We start from the raw sequence: 26,451 nt of genomic DNA, 5'->3' as shown, positions 1-26,451 counted from the left end.
GTAGAAACGTAATCCAAGAACTACGTCAAAATGGGAAAAGTAAAAAATAAGCCAAGAAATATGTAGTTACCAGGCAATGGATTATTTAATACCGATCCCCAAAGTACATTAAAAGGAATAAAGACTATAGCTTTGGAAATCTAGGCAGGAGCCAGATTGTGGAAATACTTGATCTTATAGGTTTCCTAGAGACTTGAACTTGACTCAAGAAGGAACAAGAGAATCAGCTGGCTTTTGAGCTGGAAAGCGATATAAGTGTACTTTAGAAAATAGTAAAACCACTGTAGAGGATACAGTCTAAAAGATGGCAATGCCTGCATGGACTAATGTCACATACATTCATGTTACTCTACAACTTATTTTATAAAGGGTGTGTGTGTGTGTGTGTGTGTGTGTGTACCTTACTTGGTTTAAACTCCATTAGAATACAAGTTAATAGCTAATAATCAAACTACTGTTTTTTTCTAGATTACTTATTTTAAAAAAGAAAACCCATGCAATTTATAGTCATAGCATTGCTTTATTTTTCTAACAGGAGAGTAAATCATATGCAAGATACCAAAAAAGTTCCAAAAGATTTCACTTTACCACCCCACCTGACCATGGAACATAGTAGAACCCCATGTTAACAGCAAGGAGTTCCTTAAGAACATCAAGATATGGGCGGCACTGGATGAAAATATGAGCCCTATAATCATAGCAGAAAAATTTCAAGTCACCTCAGTAACCTAGAATACATGTCCCCTGTTGCAGCTGGGCATAGGACTACTCTTGCTGTCAAGATAACAAATGATCCTCGACGTTCCACATATCTATCCTACCGAGACTCCACTATTATAATGGGCTTTATCTAAATATGAACATAGCATGCAAATAAAACTGAAGCAAGCACAAAATAGATTGGCTCATCCACTGGCAGAAGCAAATCCTTCATAGACATAAAGGCACATGTTCACCGCCATCACCACTGTAATCACCACACAACTGCATTCTAGGAGAGTTTTATAGGTACAAGGGCCTCTGATAATTTCTTCATGAGTGAATAGTGCCCTCAAGTTTATAACCTTTCTTCTCATAATGAATCAAATTTGATTAAGTGCAGACTCAGGTACCCCAACCCATTCTTAATTAGACTATTATGTGAAATTGTGATAATCTTGGAAAAGAAAAAAGCCATCTTAACCTTAAAACAATTATTACATGGCAAGAGTTAAATAAACATCTGAAGAAGATTTCCATTTAAGAAAATTAGTCTAAATTATTCTCTATTATGTATGCCATTAAAAAGATTCTTTTAAAAGTGAGCAATATTTCTTCCCCAGTATAAATCATGCACATAAAATTTAGAAGTCAATTTTTTTTTTTTTTTTGATATGGAGTCTTGCTCTGTCACCCAGCCTGGAGTGCAGTGGCGTGATCTCGGCTCATTACAATCTCCACCTCCCGGGTTCAAGTGATTCTTCTGCCTCAGCCTCCCAAGTAGCTGGGACTACAGGCATGCACCACCATCCATGGCTAATTTTTATATTTTTAGTAGGGATGGGGTTTCACCATATTGGCCAGGCTGGTCTCGAACTCCTGACCTCATGATCTGCCCACCTCGGCCTCCCAAAGTGCTGGGATTACCGGTGTGAGCCATTGCGCCCAGCTAGAAGTCCAGTTTCTTCTGTGAATAATGACATTGGCCAACCTATAAATTTAATTTTTTTTTTCTGGTCAAAGTGATGCTGAACTTCAGATTGGAAATTTAGGTTCGCCAAAGTCTTCAATGAGTATATTCCTAAATATTTTTTAAATTATAAGTTTTAAAATATTTAACCTCATTCTTTGAGTGATGACAGAACAGGTTATCAGACACCTCATGGTTTTGTGGTGCGTGTTCTTATACATCAGGAGGCTGGGTGGGAATGCATTTAGTATACAAGAGTCTATCATGAGGGAAAAGCCATATTTGGTCTTCTAGGAAATATACTAGTACCTCCTCACACCAAAAATTACCTGGTAGATATGAGGAAAGTTCTAAATTTTATATTGTCATGTTGTATATCTCTGAGATATATGAGCTGAGACCTAGTGAAAACTAGATTAAATAATGTTTTACCCTCAGGTGTTCCCTAATACAGACAAGTTGGTACCTGAAACTAACCATCACATTCATGACCCTGTATTTATTATAGTAATTGCATACGTAAAAGCCTTTCCACAGAGAAACCTCCAGATCCACATTCCATAACAGAGATGGGAAGATCAAAATGGAATATTTTGAGTTAATGGAAATAGTCTATAACTTGATTGAGGTAACAGTTTCTTGGGGATATACATTTATTAAAACATCATATTGTTCAGTTTAAGTGGGTACATGTGTGTAAATTCTACCTTATAACCTTGATAGGAAGATTAAATGTTATAAACTAGTTAGTTTTGTCAACTGATTTAATCATCTGGGTTTATATACTTACCAGCAGATTGTAAAATACCCACTGATATTACTGGACATGCATATTAAAGTGAAATTCTATTACATAAAATTAATAATTATGAATTGCTTCAGAATTTAGTAATATAATTAATACATAATGTTAAGGTAAATAATAAAATGACTATTAGTCATTTGTTTGTAAGTATCAGAAAACTCATATACCAGAAAACTATATGGAACTATAAATCTGTGGAATCAATGTGTAACATGCTATTAATGTGGCAAGCAAATTTACCTATTTTCCAAATCTATATTGTCTGCTGTTTAAAGGTATGTATCATTTGTAAGACTTCATGAAAGCGAAAATGAATTTCCACAAAACAGCTTCTTCCATTTCTCTCATCACTACCAAAATGACATTTCATAGCGCATACTAATGCCATACCAAAAACACAATTTGAGACAAATTTTTCAGATTATAGAGTTTTTTATTGTTTTACTTTTTATTATTGTTTTGTCTTTGTTTTTCTTCCTTTGTGTAATCTTCTGAGAATCAATCTTCACCTGCCATTGTTTATAGATTTCATTAACAGTAAGATCTGATATTTTCTTTTTTTTAGAGATGAGGTCTCTCTTTGTCATCCAGACTGGAGTGCAGTAGCTCAATCATAGCTCACTGTAACCTCAAACTCCTAGGCTCAAGCAATCTTCCTGTTGCAGCCTCCTAAGTAGCTAGGAATATGGACACGAGCCACCATGCTGGTTCATTTTTTTTTTTTTTTTTTTAACTGATGGAATCTCATTGTGTTGTCCTGGCTTGTCGTAAACTCCAGGCCTCAAGAGCTCCTCCTGCCTCAGTCTCCCAAAGTGTTGAGATTACAAGAGTGAGCCACGGTGCCTGGCCATGGTGAGACATGTTTTTATCTGATCTCAACACTTTGGCGAGGTTAATAGGTACATGGATGTCACTTGACTCAAGTAGTAGCAATGTGGCTTTCACTGACATTTATGAACTTGAAATACATAGATGCAGAACTGATTTGCAGAATATTGGCAAACCAGATTATATGAAGATGAATACCCAGGAGAACGTCTTTCCTTATATCTTTATCTTCCTGTATAACAGATATGGCTTAGATTCTAAGTAAGTGACTGCTGAAATCATTTCTCCCTTATCAAACAGGTATTATTTTTCATTACATACTCTCTTTCCTCTAATTATTTTATTGATATGAGGGATAATTAAATATATTATTTGATCTACTATATTTGTATCTAGCAGACCTGAGTTAAAGGAATGATAGAGGCTGAGTGTGTCCCCATTTCCACACACAAAAAAAATAAAATAAAAATTAGCTGGTAGTCATAGCTGTGGACCCAGGGAGGCTGAGGCAGGAGGTTCATGTAAGCCCAGGAACTGGAGGCTGCAGTCAGCTAGGATCATGCCATTGCATTCCAGTCTGGGTGACAGAGCAAGACTCCGTCTCTTAAAAAATTAAAAAATAAATAAAGGAAGATTAGATCTTATCTACCCAGAAAGTCTAAAATTTGAGCACAATAACCATTATTATACCTCTAGTGGCAGTAGCTGGACATAATTTTGAATTTTACTTAATTAGAAATGGGATGAGTACATTTTTGTGTCAAAGTGATCACCTGTGTAAATCTTGCTTGTAATATTAGTTAACAACAATATATCCTATATTTTTTCCTGTCTTGCATTGGCTTAAATATACTTTTCTATTTCCTTATCATTTGTTTCCATCTAGAGTCTAATTACCTCTTCCAAGAAGCATTAATCTCCTTAATCCTATTTCACATTACTCACACTATTTTTTTAAACTTTTACATTCTGAGTAGCTTACAGAGGTAAGGTAGTCATTCAGGAATAAAAACCCTACTTAAATAATCTTCCTTTAATCAGTTACTTTAACACACACATATTTAAATTTATATTTACTAAAATTTACATCGTTTCATTTATTTTACAGCAAAAATCTTTTTTTAAAATATTTTTTTAAAAACCAGCTCACATGAAACTGTGGTATATATTAAAATTTGAAAATAGAATTTAATTTACTGAAGAGACCAGGAGGCCTATTTCTCTTTTCACATGCTCTATGGCAACTGGAACCAGAACTCTAGAAAATGAAGTTGGAAAATTGTAACAAGGTAAATTTATCCTAGTATATTTAGCCAAACTGTAAAATTTTGGTGGCACGCATTGTTTATATATTATTTCTGTAGAATATTCCAAGTTATGTTGTGAAATTTAATTATGTAATATTTACTTGAAATACACACATTATATGGTTTGAACTATGTCCATGTTATTACCATGAGGATTTGAACTAGGCTTAACACTTGGTCAGCATGAATCTGGTCTGTATTGTCCTACAAATGCAGTCTACTTTGTTATTTATTTTTCATCTGAGTTATTATAATAAATTATGATTACTTGGGCATTCTAAGTAAATGATTAAAAAATCTGTTTGAAATGATCGATTGGGGTGCTCTATAATGATAGTCTTTTATCATCATGATTTATCTCATCTTTACATTAATATACTTTACCTAAAAATACATAACTTTTGGACAAAAAGTACATGTTGTCATCATTTTCAAAGGAGGAAAGAATCATTTTAAAATTAAGTACACATTGTGGGCTACAAAACAATGACAATGTTGTTCCTTCAGTGGAATTATCATCCATTGAACCATCCCATTTTTCTTCCCTTTTACAGATATAACAGGTATACTTAGCTTTAGATCTCAGTAAGAAATAAAAAGTGTTTATTAACTAGTTTTCTGTATATATACAGGAATTCTTACTGTAAAATTATTGGTATACTCCTTTTTATTTTACATAAAATGTCTTTTAAAATTAGAATAGAGATCCTACACTTATCCTTTTTTTTTTTTTTTCTTTTTTTTTTCTGGTGACAGGGTCTCATTCTGTCTCCCAGGCTGGAGTGCAGTGGCCCCATCACAGGTCACTGCAACCTCTGCCTGCCAGGTTCAAGCGATTCTCCTGTCTCAGACTCCTGAGTAGCTGGGATTACAGGCATGCGCCAACACGCCCAGCTAATTTTTGTATTTTTAGTAGAGATGGGGTTTCACCATGTTGGCCAGGCTATTCTCAAACTCCTGAAATGATCCACCTGCCTCGGCCTCCCAAAGTGCTGGGATTACAGGTGTGAGCCACCATGCCCGGCTGAGATCCTATACTTATTCTAATAGGTGAATTACCTCATGATTTAACATTTTGAAGATATTTTTAACTTACATGAACTAGGTCTGATGTTCTTTTGGGGTGTCTTTGATAGGACAAAAGGAAAAAAAATAATTTAAAAATGGTGTGAGCTGCATTTGCTCCAGTACTTATACCTCTTTTAAACTTTAATTCTATCTATCGGGAAACATTTCACATTTTCTTGGGCTATTGGGGCACTATATATTATTGATGTGTATCCCAAAGTATCTGACTTCCTAAAAAAAATGCTGAATGAGTAATTCACTGAACATTATCTTAATACCCTGGGTATATTAATGTTTGTTCTTATACAACTACCATTTATGGAGGTCGACTCAAGGATGAGAGAAAAATGGTATCATCAGAAATGTCTTGATGACTTTAGGTTCCAGCCATGGTGAAGTAACTAATACCACAGGAACCTAACCATAATTGACAATTTAAGAATTAGATAAAATATGTGGGAGAATATTTTCAGGTAATGAACAATAGACAATACAGGGCTGTTATTCCTGGAGGAAGGAAAACATACAGAGTGAGCCCCTCATCATTGAAAATACTGCCAAGTGGGCACGTTCTCCACAATTGCCTGCAAAGGTAGAGCACAATTAAGCACAAAATCCTCACTGAAATTAGGAAGTGGAGTCTAAGAGATGATAACTTAAGAGTCGGAATTTGCAGGAAAGAATAACAGAGAGAAAGGAAATACACCCACAATTTTTAAGAAACTTTCATTGAGTCCCCAATTATCTGTTTGCACGGACCTGACGCCTAGATAGCTTCTCGGAAGTTATGAGCTGAATGAAGACGTTGGAGGTCACACAATACCTAAAAAGTAGGAGTTCCAACAAGCCAGCCACAGGAACTCAATTAACTCAGAAAACACCGTCTAGAATAATGACTACTTGAGTTCAGCCCTAAAAATCTTTAAAATGAAAACTGAAGGGATAAATCTGACATAACAATAAACTAACTGCCTGCCAAAAGCAACAAGTAAAATACAGTACTAATATAAAAAAAGACAACAAAATCTAAATCCCCCCAAATGTAGTATCTACAATGTCTACAATGCAATAAAAATTTCTAAACTTGGCCAGGTGCGGTGGCTCACACCTATAATCCCAGCACTTTGGGAGACCAAGGTGAATAGATCACGAGGTCAGCGGTTCAAGACCAGCCTGACCAACATGGCGAAACCCTGTCTCTACTAAAAAATACAAAAGTTAGCCAGGCATGGTGGTGGGCGCCTGTAATCCCAACTACTCAGGAGGCTGAGGCAGGAGAATTGCTTGAACCCAGGAGGCAGAGGTTGCAGTGAGCCAAGATCATGCCACTGCACTCCAGCCTGAGCGATGGTGTGAGACTTCATAAAAAAAAAAAAAATTACTAGACTTATAAAGAAGTGTAACTTCTTTTCATATGGATATAACAGTTGTATATTCAAAACTTTTAACTTATAAGGGGAAGTACTTATACTAATTAGTGAATAAGTACTTATAATTGTTGGGGACGAGATGACTAATAGAAACCAACAACAAGATAATCTAGATATTGGAATTAGCAGTAAAAGATCATAAATAACTTATAAGTAAATTTAAGACATAAAAGAAAATATGACTATACATAATAAAGAATGAAGATTTCAGAAGACCAACAAAACCTACAAAAAAAGATTCAAATGGAAAATTTCAGTATCTGAAATGCAAATTATGTCAGTTGCCTAGTCCAGAAGATTACAGATGGAAAATGAAAGGCCTGGTGAATTTAAAGATAGATCACTAGATACTAGCTAATCTGAAGAACGAAGACTAACAGATGAACAGAGACTTGGTAACTAAGTTACAGAATGACAAGCTATCTGAGGCATGTCAAGGCCTATGAGAACACGGGAGAGAGAAAGAATGAAGTAGAAAATATGGATGTGAAGAAATGTTGTCTGAAAATATGATGAATTTGGTGAAAAGCATAAATTTACAGATCCAAGACCCTCAGTAAATGCAAAGGTGGATGATTTATAAAGATGACTACACCTAAGCACAGCATGAGTGCTAAAAAGCATAGATTAAAAAAAGTCTTAAAAACAGTCAGAGGGGAGAAATATGTCATATATATGAAAGCAATGACACAAATAATTGCTGACTTATCATTTTATACAAGGCCAAAGACAATGAATCAACTTTAAAGTGCTGAAACTAAAAACAGTCAACCCGGAATTCTTTACTCAGCAAAACTATTGTACAAAATAGAAAATGAGGTTTTTAGACAAATAAGTGAGATTCACGCCAGGTGGGAAAATAATAATCTAAAAATGAGATTTTTAGACAAAGACATTTTAAGACAAATAATTGAAAGAATTCATCACTGCAGAACTGAAATACGGAAACACTGAAGACATTCATTCTTTACTGAAGTGAATAGACACCAAAAGAAAATTCAGATTTACAAAAATGAATGAAAAGTGCCTAAAATAAACATAACTCTGTGTGCATATATGTGTACATATACATGTGCCATTTTTATACATATATAATTATTCATAAATAAGTACATATGTTTTTCCTCTCTTAACTTTCTTAATAAGGTATTATTATTTAAAGCTAAAATTATAACAACATATTGTGCATTTATAATATATGCAAATGTAAAATTTTATGAAGTATAGTGGCTCCTCTACAAGAACATCACACTTGGTAAGAATTTAATTATTACCCTCTATTTGTGTCTTTGTGCATTTTTTTTTCTTGTGCTTTTTTGCAACCAGGTGCAAATTTGCAAAATTACCATAATTTGGTATAAATTTATTATTTTCAATACACCTTAAAAATATGAATTGAGAAGATAGAGTGAGGCAAGTAAGGGTTTACTTTTCATTTACATACAACATTTTGAAAATATTAGGTAGTATTGAAAGCATTAAAAATAAATGGAAACAAGGGAGTTAGATGTGAATTATTTTCCCACCTGGTGCAAATCTGTGTGAGAGGGGTGTGATGTAGTTTATCATGGACAGAATACACAACCTCAGATTAATCTCAAAACTCTCACTGAAAACTACTCCATGAAATCTATCTCCATGAAAAGGATAAATTTGAAAATGTTTCCTATCTCTGCAACAAAAGTATTTATTAAAGTCTTACATCACATTATCTAACTAGTAATAAATAAGACATATATTAGTAGTTTTAACAAATATGTTACATATATAAGATTTATTTCGCCATAAGAATATATATATATACATAAAATTATTATTTTTTTTGAGACTGAGTCTCGCACTGTTGCACAGGCTGGAGTGCAGTGGCACACTCTCAGCTCACTGCAACCTCTGCCTCCCGGGTTCAAGCAATTCTCCTGCCTCGGCCTCCTGAGTAGCTGAGATTACAGGTGCCCGCCACCATGCCTGGCTAATTTTTTTCCATAGAGACGGGGTTTCCCTATGGTCATCAGGCTGGTCTTGAACTCCTGACCTCGTGATCCACCCGCCTCAGACTTCCAAAGTGCTGGGATTACAGGCGTGAGCCACTGTGCCTGGTCTCATCATAAGAATTTAAAAGCTTTTTTCCCGCAGTTGTGACTCATAAGGATAAGTCAGCATCTGCCACGGAATATTTTTGAAGTAGATGCACTTAACTTTTATGCAAAAAGAATGCCAGTCTATGGAGGTAGCTGAACATTTTACTGTCCCTCTCCCAACATCAAATCTGGTATACCTCCTTGGGGTAGATTTAAAATGCGTCTGCAAATTCTTTGGCACTCTTTCTTTTTTTAAAAAAATTGTACTTTAAGTTCAGGGGTACACGTGCAGAACGTGCAGGTTTGTTACACAGGTATACATGTGCCATGATTGTTTGCTGCACCTATCAACCCATCATCTAGGTTTTAAGCCCAGCATTCATTAGGTATTTGTCCTAATGCTCTCCCTCCCCATGCCCCCCACTTCCTGACAGGCCTCTGTGTGTGATGTTCCCCTCCCTGTGTCCATGTGTTCTCATTGTTCTACTCCCACTTGTGAGTGAGAACACGCAATGTTTGGTTTTCTGAGAATGATGGCTTCCAGCTTCATCCATGTCCCTGCAAAAGACATGAACTCATTCTTTTTAATGGCTGCATAGTATTCCATGGTGTATATGTGCCGCATTTATTTTATCCAATCTATCATTGGTGGACACTCTTTCTTTCGTTTAAAAAGTGGAATGTAATTCTCCTTCCCTTCAATATGGAACAGATTTAGTGAATCACTTCTAAGCAGTAGAATGCAGCCAGTATTGCCGAGCTGGTGAAAGGTTTTGCTACAGCTCCCTTGCTCACTTGCAGTGCTTCCTCTGGGGAAAGCGAGCCACCATGTCATGAGGACAGGAAGGAAACCCATGGAGAGGACTATCTTGGGAGAAGCTGAAGCCAGACAACAACTAGCACTGTCTGTTACTCATGTGAGCGAGCCTCCTTGGAAGCAGAATCTTCAGCCACAGTTAAGCGTTCAGATGACTGATGTCCCCGACAACATCTTAACCGCAACCTCATGGAAAACCTTGGGCCAGAATGGCACAGTGGAACTGATCCAGGATTTCAAACGTACAGAAACTGTGAGGACAACGTATCTTTATGTTTTAAGCCACTAAGTTGTAGGGTAAATTTGTTATAAAGTTTAGATACCCAATACATTCTCTTCAAATTTTTCTTTTTAAAATTAGATACCATGGAAAATATAGCATAAAAAGAAACTTCTAAGTGCAATACAAAAACATTTATACATCACACACTTAACCACACAGGTTAAGAAATACAACATGGTCAGTATTTTCAAGTCCCCTTCCTAACCATGTGTCTCTTCCTAGTCACGTTACCTTCCCTCCACCCCACAGGTAACCATTTTCTTGTCTTTTTTTGGTAATCATTTTCTTTCTTTTCTTCACGTTTTCTTTTATTTTCATTGCTTGGTAATAAGCATGTAACTTAAGAATTATGTATATTAATCAACATTTATTGAGACTGTCCTTGAATTCTACAGAAACATAATTATAATCTATCTTTCTTTGATTTTTTCTTCTCTACACAATCCTTACAAGATTCTTTGATTCTGGCCGGGTGCGGTGGCTCACGCCTGTAATCCCAGCACTTTGGGAGTCCAAGGCCGGTGGATAACTTGATGTCAGGAGTTCGAGACCAGCCTGGCCAAAATGGCGAAACCCCTTTTCCAGAAAAAAATACAAAAATTAGCCCAGTGTTGTGGCGCACACCTGTAGTCCCAGCTACTCAGAAAGTTGAGGCAGGAGAATCACTTGAACCTGAGAGGCAGAGGTTGCAGTGAGCTGAGATTGCAACACTGCATTCCAGCCTGGGTGACAGAGTGAGACTCTATCTCCAAAAAAAAACAAAAAACAAAAAAAAGATTATTTGATACTGAATGTACATGTAGTTTAATCATTTTAATTGATGTAGAGTAGGCCATTTTATAATTCTTCCAGAAATTATCAAATCTATTATTGATGGATATCTGCTGTGTTTCCTGTCTGCTTGTTGTTGTGAGCACTGCTGTTATTTACATCCTGTTATTTACATGTCTCTTGTTGCACTTGCACAAGAATGTTTCTAATAAGCTTTTATTCCATCTAATTTTCTTATGCTGTTCCTCGTCTTTATCATTCAGTTCAAAGTATTCCTGGTCTGCCCAAAACGAGCTGCACTTTTGACCAAGTCTTTTATCTTTTCTGGCTCCTGTTGCCTTGACTGCAAACTGAGGAGGGAACAGTTCTTCCCTCTTTGGGGTCTTATGAGGGTTAAATATAAAGGGTTTAGGACAACATCCTTTAAAAAAAAAGCCTTATAAAGCAGCAAGTTTTGATTTTTTGGTTCATCATCCTCCATGCTAATTATAGTGCCCAGCATAAAGTAAGGATATGTTGGTATTTGCATGGCTATTATTTTTCTTTCATATATTAGTAATTCAGAATTGTGTTTCTTGCATTGAATTTCAAACATAAATGTTTTTTTTCCCAAGTTTTGTTGGTTCATGTGTGATTTTTCCTATTGATTGCCAACTTAATTGAATTGTAATTGTATGTATACTCTCTGTACTTCAAATACTTCCAAATTTGTTGATTATTTTTGGCCCATTTTACCATCTCCAATTTTGATTTAAAAAAATATTACTTGCAATTATTCATTCTTTATAGTTTCTAATTCATGCCTATATTTTAAGGCTGCCATTTTATTTATCTTATATATTAAACATAGTGTATAGTTATCATATAATCTGTCTGGTAATGCCAACATATAGAAATATTTTTGATTTTACTCATACTATCCCATATGAAAATACAAATAAATAAATGTTTGAGGGCTTTTGTTTCACTTTTGCTTTAAAAGTAGATTCATATGAACTGGTTTATATCTGCCTTATTCATTGACTAATATCCACAAAATCCCTTTTAAGTCCATTAGTGAAACTATAAAAATCATTATTTTTACTGGTTGTATAACATTCCACTAAATTAGAGCAATAGCTATCCAATAATTTTCAGATTTTCCCACTACAGACAATGTTGTACTAAATATAATTTTATGTATAAGATAAATACATGATATAAATATATTTTATATATCATATACATATTATATGATATATTTATATTATGTATGATACATAAATATAGCATATATATACTTATATATGATATCCTTATGTCATTTAGATTTATATATGATATATTTATGTGTATTTATATATACATAGCATACAATCCAATTTTTTTCTCTATGGAACAAATTATAAATAGTAAAATTTCTGTGTTAAAGTATGAGATATATATATATATTTTTAAATTAACAAAGCCTTCTATGAATTGCTTATTTATATACTTTGTCCATGGATTTATTAAGGTATTGGTATTTTTACATGAATTTGATCAAATAGTATGTAAATAATAACCACATTTTTTGATCATGTGAGTTGAAAATAAAGTTTTCTTATTATTTTCTCAAATTATTTCGTAGACAGTATTAGATATATGTGATATATATATATCTCTTCTCACATATAATTTATAAGTTTTAGTATTAGTAAAGATGATCTTCTCCACACCTAATTAAATCATTAAACCATCTGGAATTTATTTTTAATAATGTGTGAGAGAGAGTTCAAATCATACTTATCCAGATGGATATCTAATGGTGCCAACGTATTTTATTAAATGTCTCATGCTTTTCACACTTGCAATACCACATTTGTCATACAATAAATTTTCATATATCATGAGTGTTATTTTTGGACTCTGTATTATGATTCATCAGCCTATTTGTCTACTGGCATGTTGGTGTAACGTTTCTTTTACAATATTAATATTTCAATAGGTTCTGATATCTAGGTTGGCAAAAAATGTCCCCACAACATCTTTGAATTCATTCTTCTCCTGGATATTCCTTGATTTTCACACCTTTCAGTACAACATACGATGATGGAGTTGCTCAGTTTATAAAAACCAAACAACACAAAACATAGTCATCCCTGACTTCTCCCTTTTGCTTACAATCAACATACCTTCCATAAACTGCACCTGTTGGCTTTACCCTGAAAACATTTTCTTAAACTACTCTCACTCTTCTATTACGAAAACTCTAAGCCACAATCATCTCTTGCTTGAATTGCTCAAGGACCTTCTCATTGCTTCTCTCCTTTCACTGTTGCCCCTCAGCCATTCATTCCCCATCCTAAAACATAATATGCCTTAATATGTATAACACACCAAGCCAGTCTCTTGCCCCTGCCCTCACCATCAAATTCCTTCCTATCACATGTGGAATGAAAGTCAAAGTCCTCATCAGTTTACACAGGCCTTGCAAAGTGTGGCATCTGGCTGTATTTTGCACCTCTGTTCCTGACATTCTTCTCCTCATTTTGCTTTGCTGTTTTTCAAACGCACTACATTTTTACCTCGGGCATTGGTACTCACTGGGTATAATTCTTTTCCTCCATGTATTTACAGAGATTAATAGCTTAACACACTGCATTCACATCTCAATTTAAATGTACTTCTTAGGAAAGTTGTTTCCTGACCACCATATCTGAAACAAAATCTCTTTAATTCATTTAGCAAATGTTCTTGCTTTTTCCTCGTAGCACTTTTCCCAACCTGACATTATGCTATGCAATTTTGAAATGAATTTCTCCCTGGTAGACTACAAACAGCATGAGGGAAGAATCATACCTATTTCGTTTGCTTTTGCATCCTTAATGACATAAATAATGCCAGGCATGGTGTTGACTTTCAACAAATACTTACAGAAAAAAATGAATATTATTTTATATTGAAAAAAAGCTATCAGAATTGTAGCTGAAATTACATTGGATTTATTCAGAGTTTTGAGATAATTTACATTGATATGATTTTAGGTTTCTGCATCCGTGGGATGTTTTTCATTTGTTTATATCTTTTTTGTTAATAGTAGTTTTAACTTTTATACAGGTACAGGACGCTGTTAACAGTATTGTTAAGTATGTCATAATTGACATTGTCACTGTGTTGAAGTACATTTTTCTCTTTTCTATTTTCAAACTAGTCATTCGACAAAATATTTCAATCCAATACATTTTTATCTCTTGAATTTTAAGTAGAAATTATATTAGATAAACTAATTTATGTCTATAGTTGTTATTTTGTTTTCTTATCTTATTTTTTTTTACAATCTCCCAAATATTTTGATAATGATGCTAACCAGATCATGCCTGTCTATTTCTCTGTGTTTTTATTTCCTCTTCTACTTTACCTTTACATTTTTCCTATGATTTGAGGCATTTCCCCACTTATTATTCAAAGCTTTGTTTTAGCTTAGTCACCATCCTGTACTCCAAAATACCTAATGGAGTTTTAAAATTTTGTGATGTTTAAAAAATTCTAAAGGTCAAAATATTTTATTGTAGTTGCTGCTTTGCTCCTCTTTTATCTCTGCCTTGTGAAAGACTTAAGTATTCACCTTGTCTTCTCTTAGGATAGGCCCATAAATGGGTTATTTTTCTCTCTATGCTCCTTGGGGCTGTGGTCCAGCTGCAAGAATACCTTGTGTAGAGTCAGATCTACCCATAGGACTAGGATGTGGTCTTCCCTGTGTGTTTCCCTGAGCTACTCAAGGTTGGAACAGCATGAGGAAATTTTTCTGCTGCTCAGGAACAGGCGAGAGGAAGGTCTTGACTCCCACCAGCAGACAGAGGCCAAGAAGACTAGGCAATGTCAGTCTCCTCCCAGGGTTGAGGTGGTCATGGTGTCTATGGATCCCTGGGGACCAATCTCACCAAGCTTCACAGTTCATTTCTTTCCACAAATGCCACTTGCTAGAGTCTCAGATGATCTAAAGATCTGCAACTGTCCTCTCAGAGGTAGCTGGAGTGTTATTCATCTTACCCTGTTTGCTTAGTAGCTCCAATAGCCTGACTTGAGAAGAGTAAATAAATTCCAGGTTCTCTTGAAGGGCAGTCTTAGCCGGACTTGTGGCTCACACGTGTAATCCAGCACTTTGGGAGGTCAAGGTAGGAGGATTGCTTGAGCTCAGGAGTTTGAGACCAGCCTGAGCAAAATAGGGAGACTTCTCATCTCACTATTAGCTGGGCATGGTGGTACATGCCTGCAGTCCTAGCTACTCCTAGATAGGCTGAGGTGGAAGGATAGCTTGAGCCTAGGAGTTTGAGGCTATAGTAAACCATGATTGTGCCACTGCACTCCAGCCTGGGCAACAGAACAAGACACTGTCTCTTAAAAAAGAAAGAAAGGTAGTCTTTCTTTCCTCTATTGTTATTTTAAGGCATGTTAGACTGTATAAAATTTTTAAGCTTGTATGAAACTAAAAATAAGACATTTAGATTTAAGTTTATTTACAATTACATTACTTGATAGAAGATGATACTATAGTATTCCAAATGCCCTTATTTGCACACTTTAGATGCATGATTTCCTTATGTTTAACCTAATAGTGATTTAATAAATGTTATGTGCAGTACTAATAGTAGTACTTGATATTAAGAGAAACAGCCAAATTATTATTTTTATACAAGAACAACTAATTTGTACTTTTTTTGAAAGATTAAAAAGACTATATTTTTTATTTCCAAATGTTGAATTATCAAAACACTGTAAAAAATTTCAAAAATAAGCCAATCTCCAATAAGTTTTAAGATGCAGCTGTAACCAAGCTACCAGATGGCACGATTACAAGAAGTAATCAAAATTTTATGAGCATGTAGTTGGGACTTTAGGAGCTCTTGTATTGCTATAATGGTGCTGGAGATTTTAGTGAACTGTTAATTATAGTTTTGAAAATAAATTAATTTTAGAGAATTATGGAATTTATCCCTTAGGGTTAGAGCCTAATCTCATAGTAGACTGCAACTTTAAAATATCATTCTGCATGATATCAATAATGTCTTTATTTAAGAAAAAGGAGTAATATAAATAAATTAATGTCTCCATAAGAACTAAGAAATCATCTCTCCTTATAATAGTGCTCTGGTCCCTAGATGCTTCTTGTATCATGATATATGATAGTCTTGCTGTTAATTACTAAGTCATTTAAGAGATATGGGACTGGAGAAATGAGTCATGTCTTATGCGAGGACTCACTGTCCCCAGGCTGTCCTTCGTCTTCAGGAGCCCTATTATTTTACCCAGTTATGTGCATGGCTTCTGGCTGTTCAGCAGGGTGCTTTGAGCTTATAGAAAAGGTTAAGCACCTTCACGTTTTCCTGCAACTGGCATCAGCTGGCATGGTCAACCAATTAGTTAATTTTATACTTATTTATTGCCTCATTTTGGAATAAAATCCTTATATGTGATTTAATTATAGCAAAAGCCTTTTAGTCTTTATCAGAGACAAGATTTAGCAAATGTAGCAAGCCAGACGAAAGGCCTTGCGTCGACTCGCAGCTCTCTGGACGGGTGCACTGTTTGTATGAGGATATTCACCAGAACTTTTCTGTTTCATGATTTCTATACCTATCCCATTGCAAAATCCTTTCATTAAGGTTAACTGAGGGGACTGTTGAAAATCAAATTCCAAAGACCATTCCTCAAGCATTATAGATATTAATAGCTCAATTTAGAGAATATTGCAAACTTCACTAAAACTTACTTTCTCTCTAGAGACTGTGAAAACAATGAAAGAAAGGAAGGAAGGAAGGTAAAATATCACATCAAACTAAAAAGCTTCTGCACAGAAAAGGAAACCATCAACAGAGTGAATAGACAACCAACAGAATGGGAGGAAATATTGGCAAACTGTACATCTGACAAGGAGTTAATATCCAGAATATACAAGAAACTCAAAAAAACTCAATAGAAAAACAAACAAAAAACAAAACAAACAAAAAACAAATAATCTGATTTAAGAATTGGCAAGAACCTGGTTAGACACTTCTTAAAATAAGATATACAAATGGTCAACAGGTATATAAAAATGCTCAACATCACTAACCATCAGGAAAATACAAATCATAGCCATAATGAGATACTACCTCACTCCAGTTAGAATAGCGATCTCAAAAAGTTAAAAGATAACAAGTGTTGGTAAGGATGTGGAGAAAAGGGAACCCTTACACACTTCTGGTGGGGATATAGATTAGTACAGTCATTATAGAATGCATTACAGAGTTTCCTCAAAAAATTAAAATGTTAACAAAACTACCATATGATCCAGCAATTCCACTACTGGGTATGTATTCAAATGCGATGAAGTCACTATGTCAAAGAGATATCTGCACTTCTGTTACAGGACAGATGAGCCCCCAAATTGGGACTTAGCCCAGGAAAAATTTTGGCTTTACTCAGGAAAGAATTCAAGAGCCAGCAGTGGGAGAAGAAAGCAGGTTTATTGAGGTGACAGTGTTACAGCCCCATGACTGCTCCTGCAGAGCAGGGCTACCCCATAGGCAGTGTGCCCAGAGTAGCAGCTCAGGGGTACTTCTGTAGTGCTTTTAATTACATGCAAATAGCCGCTTTTAATTACATGCAAATTAATGGATGGGTTAGTCAGAAATTTCTGGAAAAGGGGTGGTAATTTCTGGGTCTTTGCCATAGAAATGGGAGTAACTTGCAGGCATTGTCATGACAATGGTAAACTATCATGATGTTGGTGATGTTGGTGGGTGTGTCTTATGAAGATGTGCTTTTTTTTTTTTCTTTTCTTGAGACCCAGTCTACCTCTGTCACCCAGGCTGGAGTGCAGCCTGATTTCTGCTCACTGCAACCTCTGCCTCCTGGGTTCAAGTGATTCTCCTGCTTCAGCCTCCTGAGTAGCTGGGATGACAGGTGCCCACCACCATGCCTGGCTAATTTTTGTATTTTTAGTAGAGATGGGTTTTGACCATGTTGGTCAGGCTGATCTTGAACTCCTGACCTCCAGAAATTCACCTGCCACAACCTCCCAAAATGCTGGGATTATAAGCGTGAGCCACCGTGTGCCACTGCACTGGGGTGAGAGGTGCTTTTGATACCTCTTCCCTATTTCTGCCAGGTTTAAATGTATTCCAGAGTTCAGTCCTGCCTCCTACCCTGCTTCCACGTTTATTGCAGCACTATTCACAATAGCAAAGATATGGTGTCAACCTAGTGTCCATCAGTGGGTGAATAGATAAAGAAAATATGGTATATATACACAATGGAATATTATTCCTACATAAAAAAGAATGAAGTCCTTCCATTTGCAACAAATGCTTGGAACTGGAGGTCATTATGTTAAGTGAGATGAGCCAGACCCAGAAAGACAAATGCCAAGTGATGTTACTCATATGTGAAATCTAAAGAAGTTGATCTCATAGAAGTAGTGAATAAAATAGTAGTTTCTAGAGATGGGGAAGGGGAGAGATGGAGAAGGGGCGAGGGAAAGGAAGAATGGGGGAGGCTGGTCAAAGGATATAAAGTTACAATTAGAAAGGAAGAATAAGTTCTGGAGTTTTGCTGCACAGTAAACTCAACAATACATTATATTTCAAAATAGCTAGAAGAGAGGATTTTGAATATTCCCACCATAAAGATATGATAAATGCTTGAGGCGATAGATGTGCTAATTACCCTAATTTAGTCATTAGACAATGAATACATGTATTACATCCATTGTACCCCATAAATATGTACAATTATTATTTGTCGATTAAAAATAAAAAATAATGAAAAAAAGGAAGGAAGGAAGGAAGGAAAGGGAAGGAAGGAAGGCAGGCAGGCAGGAAGAAAGAAAACAAAAGAATGAATGAAAGGAAGACACATGCATGTTCTTACAGACACACAGATGTGGGGAATGGCAGCTTCTTGTTTTTTTTTACTTTTGAACTTCTGACCATATTTTCTCTACCAAGATTTCAGGCCTACTCCCAAGGTCATATCTTTTACTTGGCCTTTAATAATAATTATGCCAGTTCCATTTAAAAAATATTAACTATCACACTGTCTGATTCTTTCTTATCTCTACTCCTAGAGCTGATCATTTTCAAAACTCTTACACATTAGGGTCTCTAATCTACCATGTTAGTGCTCATTATTGCCCTTGTATTTTCATGTCCTATTGCATAGGCAGGGTATAATTGTTCATGGTGATAAACATTCTTCTGTATACATCCTCAAGTGCCTTGTTTCTCCTCTTGTTCACGTGGTTAACCCAAATATCCATCTACAAGATACTAACATATGAAATCCAATGGAGAAAATATACAACTATGTTGAATAGTCATCTGAAAGTTAAAGTAAGATTTAAAAAGTCTAATACTAGCCTAGCTAATTCATTCTCCCATATGCCAAAATACTGATTTTTCCTTTCAGCAAACTTCCAATATTTATTCTTCCTAATTCAATGATAAATCACAGGCAGTAAACTGAGAACTACATTTCCTCAGCAATACATTTACCATCTTATCTGTGTTTGTAATATCTTCCTGCCTGTTTAGCTGATAAATGAATGGAATAGTCAGAATAATTGCTCTCAGGAATATCCAGGAGTATACTTCGTTACATGGTAAAATGGACTTTGTGGATGTGATTAAATCTAGGAATCTGAGATGGGGTGATTATCTAAGATTATCTCCCTGGGGCCAAAGTAACGAAAATAGTTCTTAGAAGTGGAAGGGGGAGGCAGTAGAGTCAGAGGGCAACGTGACTATGGCAGCATGACCAGTGCCATGTGATGTGTTTCTCACTTTAAAAAAAAGAGGAAGGATGCCACAGCCAAAGAATGTGAGTGGTCTCTAAATGCTAGTAAGCTCATGGAAACAGACTTCCTCCAGAGCTTCCAGCAAGGAAAGGCACCTGGCTGACACCTACATTTTAACTCAGTGAGATTGTTGTCAGACTTCTGACCAACAGACTTGTAAGGTAAATATGTGTGGTTTTAAGTCACAAAATTTGTAGCAATTTGTAGAAATTTGTAGCAGCAATACAAAATTGATGATTACTAGAGGAGGGGATGTGGATGGGGAACAGAGAGAGATTGATCTAAGAGTACAAAGTTTTGGTTAGACAAAAGATAGAAGATTCAGTAATGTATTGGTGAGTGGTAACTATAATAAATAATGCATTGGATAATTCAACATTGCAAAACTAGTGTATTTTAAATGTTCCACCACAGAAATGCTAATTATATGGGGTGATGAATTTATTTAGCCTGATTTAATCATTTTACATTGTAAGCATATATCAGAATATCACATTGTATCCATAAATATATTCAATTATTATTTGTCAATTTAAATTTAGAGATATTAGAATTGTGGAAGGGTAGTGGGGATGGGGGGGACGTGGGGATGGTTAATAGGTACAAAATTATAGTTTGAATAAGATCTAGTATTTGATAGCATAACAGGTGACTACATCAACAATAATTTATTGCACGTTTAAAAATAACTAAAAGAATTATAATTAGATTGTCTGTAACATAAAGAAAGGACAAATGCTTGAGGTGATGGAAATAAAATAAACCATAAATAAATATTTTAAAAGAAAATTAATAAAATACACTTTACCTATTCCCATAAAAGACCAAGATCTCCACTACATCCTCTCCCTTCTTGCTTAATTGATAGATTTACGCTTAAGATTTTCCTTATTTTTCCTATATTATCAGCTTCTCTGTTTATCCTCTATGTATAATTATAAAAATAAATATTGACAAATATAGATAGATTTATGTGTGGCTATAGATATGTCATGCTGTATATCACACTGTAATATAACTGTGGAGACCTCATTACCCCCACAAACTGCCATCTCTTCTCTCTTGTTGTCTTTCCAACATGACTCAAAATAGTTTTGTATACTTGGCACATTAATTTCATGTTCTGTTTTTGAATTACTCCCTCACTTTTTCATTGAACAGGAATCTGTAAAAATCTTCATAACTTCTGTATAGTCAGAACCACAATCTTTTCTCAATCCTCACCTTTCTTGATTTCTCAGCAGTGTTTAGTATATTTACAATCTTTTTCATTCTGCTGCTGGGGACAACACATTCCAACCTCACTAAATGTTTCTTCTTCATCTGTTTTCCTTGCTCCTTCTCTTCTTTCTGATTTTAAAGATAGACAGAACCAGGGACCAGTCATTGCAACTTCTCTATACATATTTTCTAAATACATTCAATTTCACAGCTTTGAATATAGCCTCTTTGCTGATGATTCCCAAGTAGATATCCAAGGCCCTACCTTGTCCGTGAATTTCAGACCAATGTGTTCAATTCTATCTAATATCCCTATTAGGGTGCTTTTAGAAACTTCTATATTAAGAAATTGCTAACGTTCTGAATATTTGTGTTGTCTTAAAATTCATATGTTGAAATTCTTATTCCAAAGGTGACAGTATTAAGTCTTATGGCCTTTTGGGAGGTGAGTAGGTCAAGAGGAAAGACCCCTCAGGAGTGGGGTTAGTGCCTTTATAAACTAGGCCCAGGGGGCTTGTTCACCCCTTCCAATATGTGAGGACACAGCCAAAAAATGCCATCTATGAGCCAGAAAGATGGCCTTCAATGGACTCCAATTTTGCTGGCATACCGATCTTGGACTTCCCAGCTCCCCATCTGTGGTGTTTTATTATAACAGCCTGAATGGACTAAGTCCAATATGGAACTCCTTGTTCTCCCCTTGTCTGAATCCTGCTCCTTACCATGGTTCCCGTTTTAGGAAGTAGCACTATCCTTTATCAAACTTCTGAGATCAAAAACCTTGGCATCCTTAGCTGCTTTGTTTTCTTACCACTAAACATACACACATATGTTCTGTGTGTCCTGTGAGTTTTGCTTTCAAAATATATCCTCATTCACACTGCTTCCAAATACTATCATACTTCTGCTACCACCCTAATCCAAACTGCCACGCTGATGTGTCTTGACTTTGTAGTAGCCTCCTACATACTGTCCAGGCTATGCTCTTGCATTTCTGTGGTTAACTCTATACTGACCAGCCAGTAAGTGCTTCTTGTATTGCTGATACAAGAACTATGAGGGAAGCCGCCTCTCCAGCATAGTTTATGTTTACATCTTTGATCATGTTACTTGTCTATGGAAACTTTCCTAAAATTAAGCATTTCCTCTTGTTTCTGTCGTGACAGGGGAGGGTTAAAATGAACATTTTCAAGGATTTCTACTTGGCCCTTCCCACCATAATGGCATTAAAGGTCAAGAAACCAATGTGGAAGTTCTTCTATCTGCTAATAGATTCGTAGTGATTATGTATTTGGAGATGGATGAGTAAACACATGATCCTATGGACTTACTGGACCCGCTTGAGGGCTGTTCTTCATTTATCCTCTGGTCTCCATAAGCCTCGGTGCTAACCTTGTGGCATTTCATGCCCCTGAAAGTGAGAGCTGCTGTATCATTTGCCCATGCTAGCCTAGGCTGGGATCTTAGATATCCATTACCCAACTCCCTAGGTATACACCACCAGGGCTTCCAAGGTAGGCAAAGGGAGCAGAGTGCCAGTCCCTCTTAGGTGAGGAAAGGAACCGCACAAGGAGGAAGAGCACAACCAGCACCATGTTTTGCTTCTCCTTCACAGCATCCTCCCTCAGAAAATCTCCTTCAGAGCATCCTCCCTCGGAAAACCTAGACTAAGCCTCTCAATGAGCCGACAGAAATCAAGAAAAATAATTTTATTCAAATAATTTCAGTTTTTGGCCCTGTAACTGAAATGACCCTCTCGTAAGGAACTGCCAAAGATTGGATACTGACTCAATGGGGGAGATAAATAATTAGAATAGCAGACACATTAATATCTCAAAAAATTGTCCTAAAAAAATAATTTGACAAGGATTATAGAATTAAGAACTTCAGTCTATTCTATTTTTCAATATGATACAATTTGTTTGTAATTTTATACAATAAAAATAAATGTTTTAGTTTTAATTAACACAATTTATTATTTTGATTCCTATAATAGAAAGTATTCTTTTTTTTTTTTTTTTTTTTTACAAAATAAGGATTTAAATATATTTTGAGTAAAGACTCAAACTGGAGAAAGAGTTTAAAAATAAAATATTGTATCAGGACAAATAAAAATAAGAGATTTTGATTCTCCTTTTTGAAATTAAAGAAGAGACTTATTCCCCCTCCTTTTTTCTTAGGACATTTACTTTAGAAAAGTTGTAATTGTAGGTGCTTCTTTCTCTGTTTGAAGTGTATATAAAAATGCTTTTGAAAACTAGAGAGGCTTTTTGTCAGCTTTATGGCCCGAAAATATATTTCTCAAGGACCCGGGAGCCATCTTTTTGAAATGTAAACAGCAGAAAGATAGTGCCCCTATATCCCAGTTTCTATGATAAGTTAAGACTCTAACTTCGGTGAATCCTTTTATCCAAACTGCAAAATCGCTTCATGGAATAAGGATATGACAAGTTTTTTTCTCCTTTGGATAAAGCCAATTAGCTAACACTAATTGGACTCTGGTAAGTTTAGGATGAACTATATTTGGCTAGTGGTGCTGTCAAGTCCTCTTATTTGAGGACTAGTTATTGTGTACCTTGAAAATATCTATGAAATGGGTCATATTTGCTTGGCTATATAAAAGGATGAGATTTCCTTCTGTCTTTCCCTTCTTTTAGTGGACTGTCTGTGATATGCATCAAATTCTAATTTAATGCTTATTCAATAATACAAATGTTTCTTCCTCTACTTACCTTTGTGGAGAGGATTTCCGGGTTGGGAGATTTCATTTTAATTATGTTTCTCCAACAATTGACAATGTGTTTACATGTAAAACATGAGCCTATTGCAGGTGGGATTAAGAACATAAAGAGGGGGTTAGCTTTAGAATAATAATGAATATGGTGATAGGTGTTTTGATTACATAACTATGACAGTTATTTAACTTATATGTGGTCCGTGTTTCATATTTTAATCCCAAGAGTGTATCTATTGGAACCCAGCCTTAGAACATGTGTGTATCCTTAATTCAATCAGAAAACTAAAAAAAGATCAATGTATATATGCATCCTCTTGGATGAGTACCTTCATCTTTATTTATAATTGTTGACTCATTGAGTGGTAATGTATTAAATTTTTGTTACTGAATATTTATTTCTATAATAATTATATTTGAAACGTATGACTCAAATTCCAAATAAGGGCACTTTTCTGAGTAACTGAAGTTAGAATTTCAACATATCTTTTTTGGGAGTATATATTCTATCCACAACACATTCTAAGTACACAGTTTTCTCAGAAACATAGCCTATAATATAGGCTGTAAGATACAAGATAATTTTTCCACCAAATGGAAAGTACAGTTGACCCTTGAACAGCAGGGTTTTGAACTGTGTGGGTTCACTTATACTGAATTGTTTTCAATAAACACACACAGACCATACATGAAACCATACACATTCACAGAGCAATGTAAACAAGCATAAAACTGCAGGATTAAATTATAACTGCATGAAATTAACTAGCATATACTGTACTACTGTAATAATTTAATAGCCACCTCTTATTGCTATGGGTGAAATGAAATGTTGCTAGTATTTGCTTAAAACACTACGTGACGTCATCTCCTTGTGATCATTTCATCTGACTAGCAAATTGTATCACAGCAAAAAGTTACCTCTCATGGTCAGTACAAAGTGATTGTTCGTGGTTCTCAGCTATTTTTAATTGTGTTTAGGGCAATACTGTAAACTTTGAATAACACCATGGGCTCATAGGAAGTGCCACCAGTGATGCTAGAAGTGCTCCCGAGAAGCAAAGAAAAGTCGTGACATTACAAGAAAAAGGTGAATTGCTTGATATGTACTGCAGATTGAGTCTGCGGCTGTGGCTGCTCACCATTTCAGACAGATGATTTATCTTGGAAACAGATGGTGTAAACTTTCCATATCGATAAATACAGCACAATGCTGTAAATATATTTCTATTCCTTATGATTTAGTAATAAAGATTTTGGGAATCAAAAATTATATGGGGGGTTTTTGACTGGACAGGGATCAGTGACCCTAACCTCTACATTGTTCAAGTGCCAACTGTATAATAATTTTATAATCCTAAATGTTAACTCTAGTGCACAACCTTTATCGAATATGACCCTCTGCTTAATATTGTATTAGTGGCTCAAACAACAACAACAACAAAATTCCCTAAGACCGTGAGTTCAGTAGGATAAACGTCTATCAAATATGAATGTGAAATTATAAAGATATAAAAATGCATTATGCAAGCATAGCTCATGAGACCCTACCCTGTCTTGGGGCTAGGGTGAGGCAGTCATAACACTTAAAAGACTCATTCTTGGTAATTGAATAAAACATGAGCAAAGACAGAGACACAGGAACTAGCGGTACTATAAGCACTTTTTATTTCTATTAGTGAGGAACTGGGGGTAATATGTGAGAGAGTTTGGTGAATAGAGAGAAGGGCGATCACACAGCAACTTACAAGGTGGCTGGATTTGTTTCTACTGGCCAGTCAGTGAGGTGTTTTTGTTAGATGATCAGCTTGATAATATTTCAGAGAGTTGACTTGCCCTAGGTAGGAATTTGGTGTCTGGTGGCTTAGGCAGCAACCAGGAGGCATTTCAATGATGTAAAGATTATGAGAACCAGAAGAACTGTAGAGGTATTAAGGGTGAAGAAGAAAAGACAGAGCTGAATAGCTCTTCATATCTCATAAAAATCATTACATAGTATTTGACTCTAACAGAAGCACTGGGGTATATATAAAACATAGTATCACCATCAAGTTTTACGTGAGAAGAGAATGATTGAGAGATGGACGTCACAGGCATAGGTCACACAGTTAATAAGTGAAAGTGACCAATCCAAAGCCTCAGCCTTGTGAATGCTGGTTGATTAAATTACACTGTCTTTTTTTTTTATTGTTCACATTTTGATCCTGTTTGAACACATATTTTTAAAAGTTTTATAACTACCACTGAATATTATATATGGAATTAGATCATGTGAAATTGACAAATGTAGATGATTATTTTTTCTTTCTATATTTAGCAAAATTCACATAACGAAGATGCCGTTTGTAAAAGTAAGCAAAATTTCTAATGCATTTTAAGAAATTAAGACATCCAGTTTCAAGAAATCATTTGTGTTCTTGTGTTGTACTCTTTACTAGCACACTTTTTAAATTTATAACCATGGCACTAGAATCAGTCGCAGATGTTACTGGGTAGAATATTAAGATAACTTTTGCTAAAGTGTCACAGATAAGGTGATCACTATTTACTTCTTCTGACTTCTCTCTATTTATTCAGGTTACCTTACTAAAGTGCATTTGCTAGGTTCTGTTTTTGATATATGTCCGTACTCAGAGTTGGTCT

This window comes from Homo sapiens, chromosome 18, assembly GCF_000001405.40.
Source record: "Homo sapiens chromosome 18, GRCh38.p14 Primary Assembly".
NCBI classification, from domain to species: Eukaryota; Metazoa; Chordata; class Mammalia; order Primates; family Hominidae; genus Homo; species Homo sapiens.
This window is presented reverse-complemented; position numbering follows the sequence as displayed.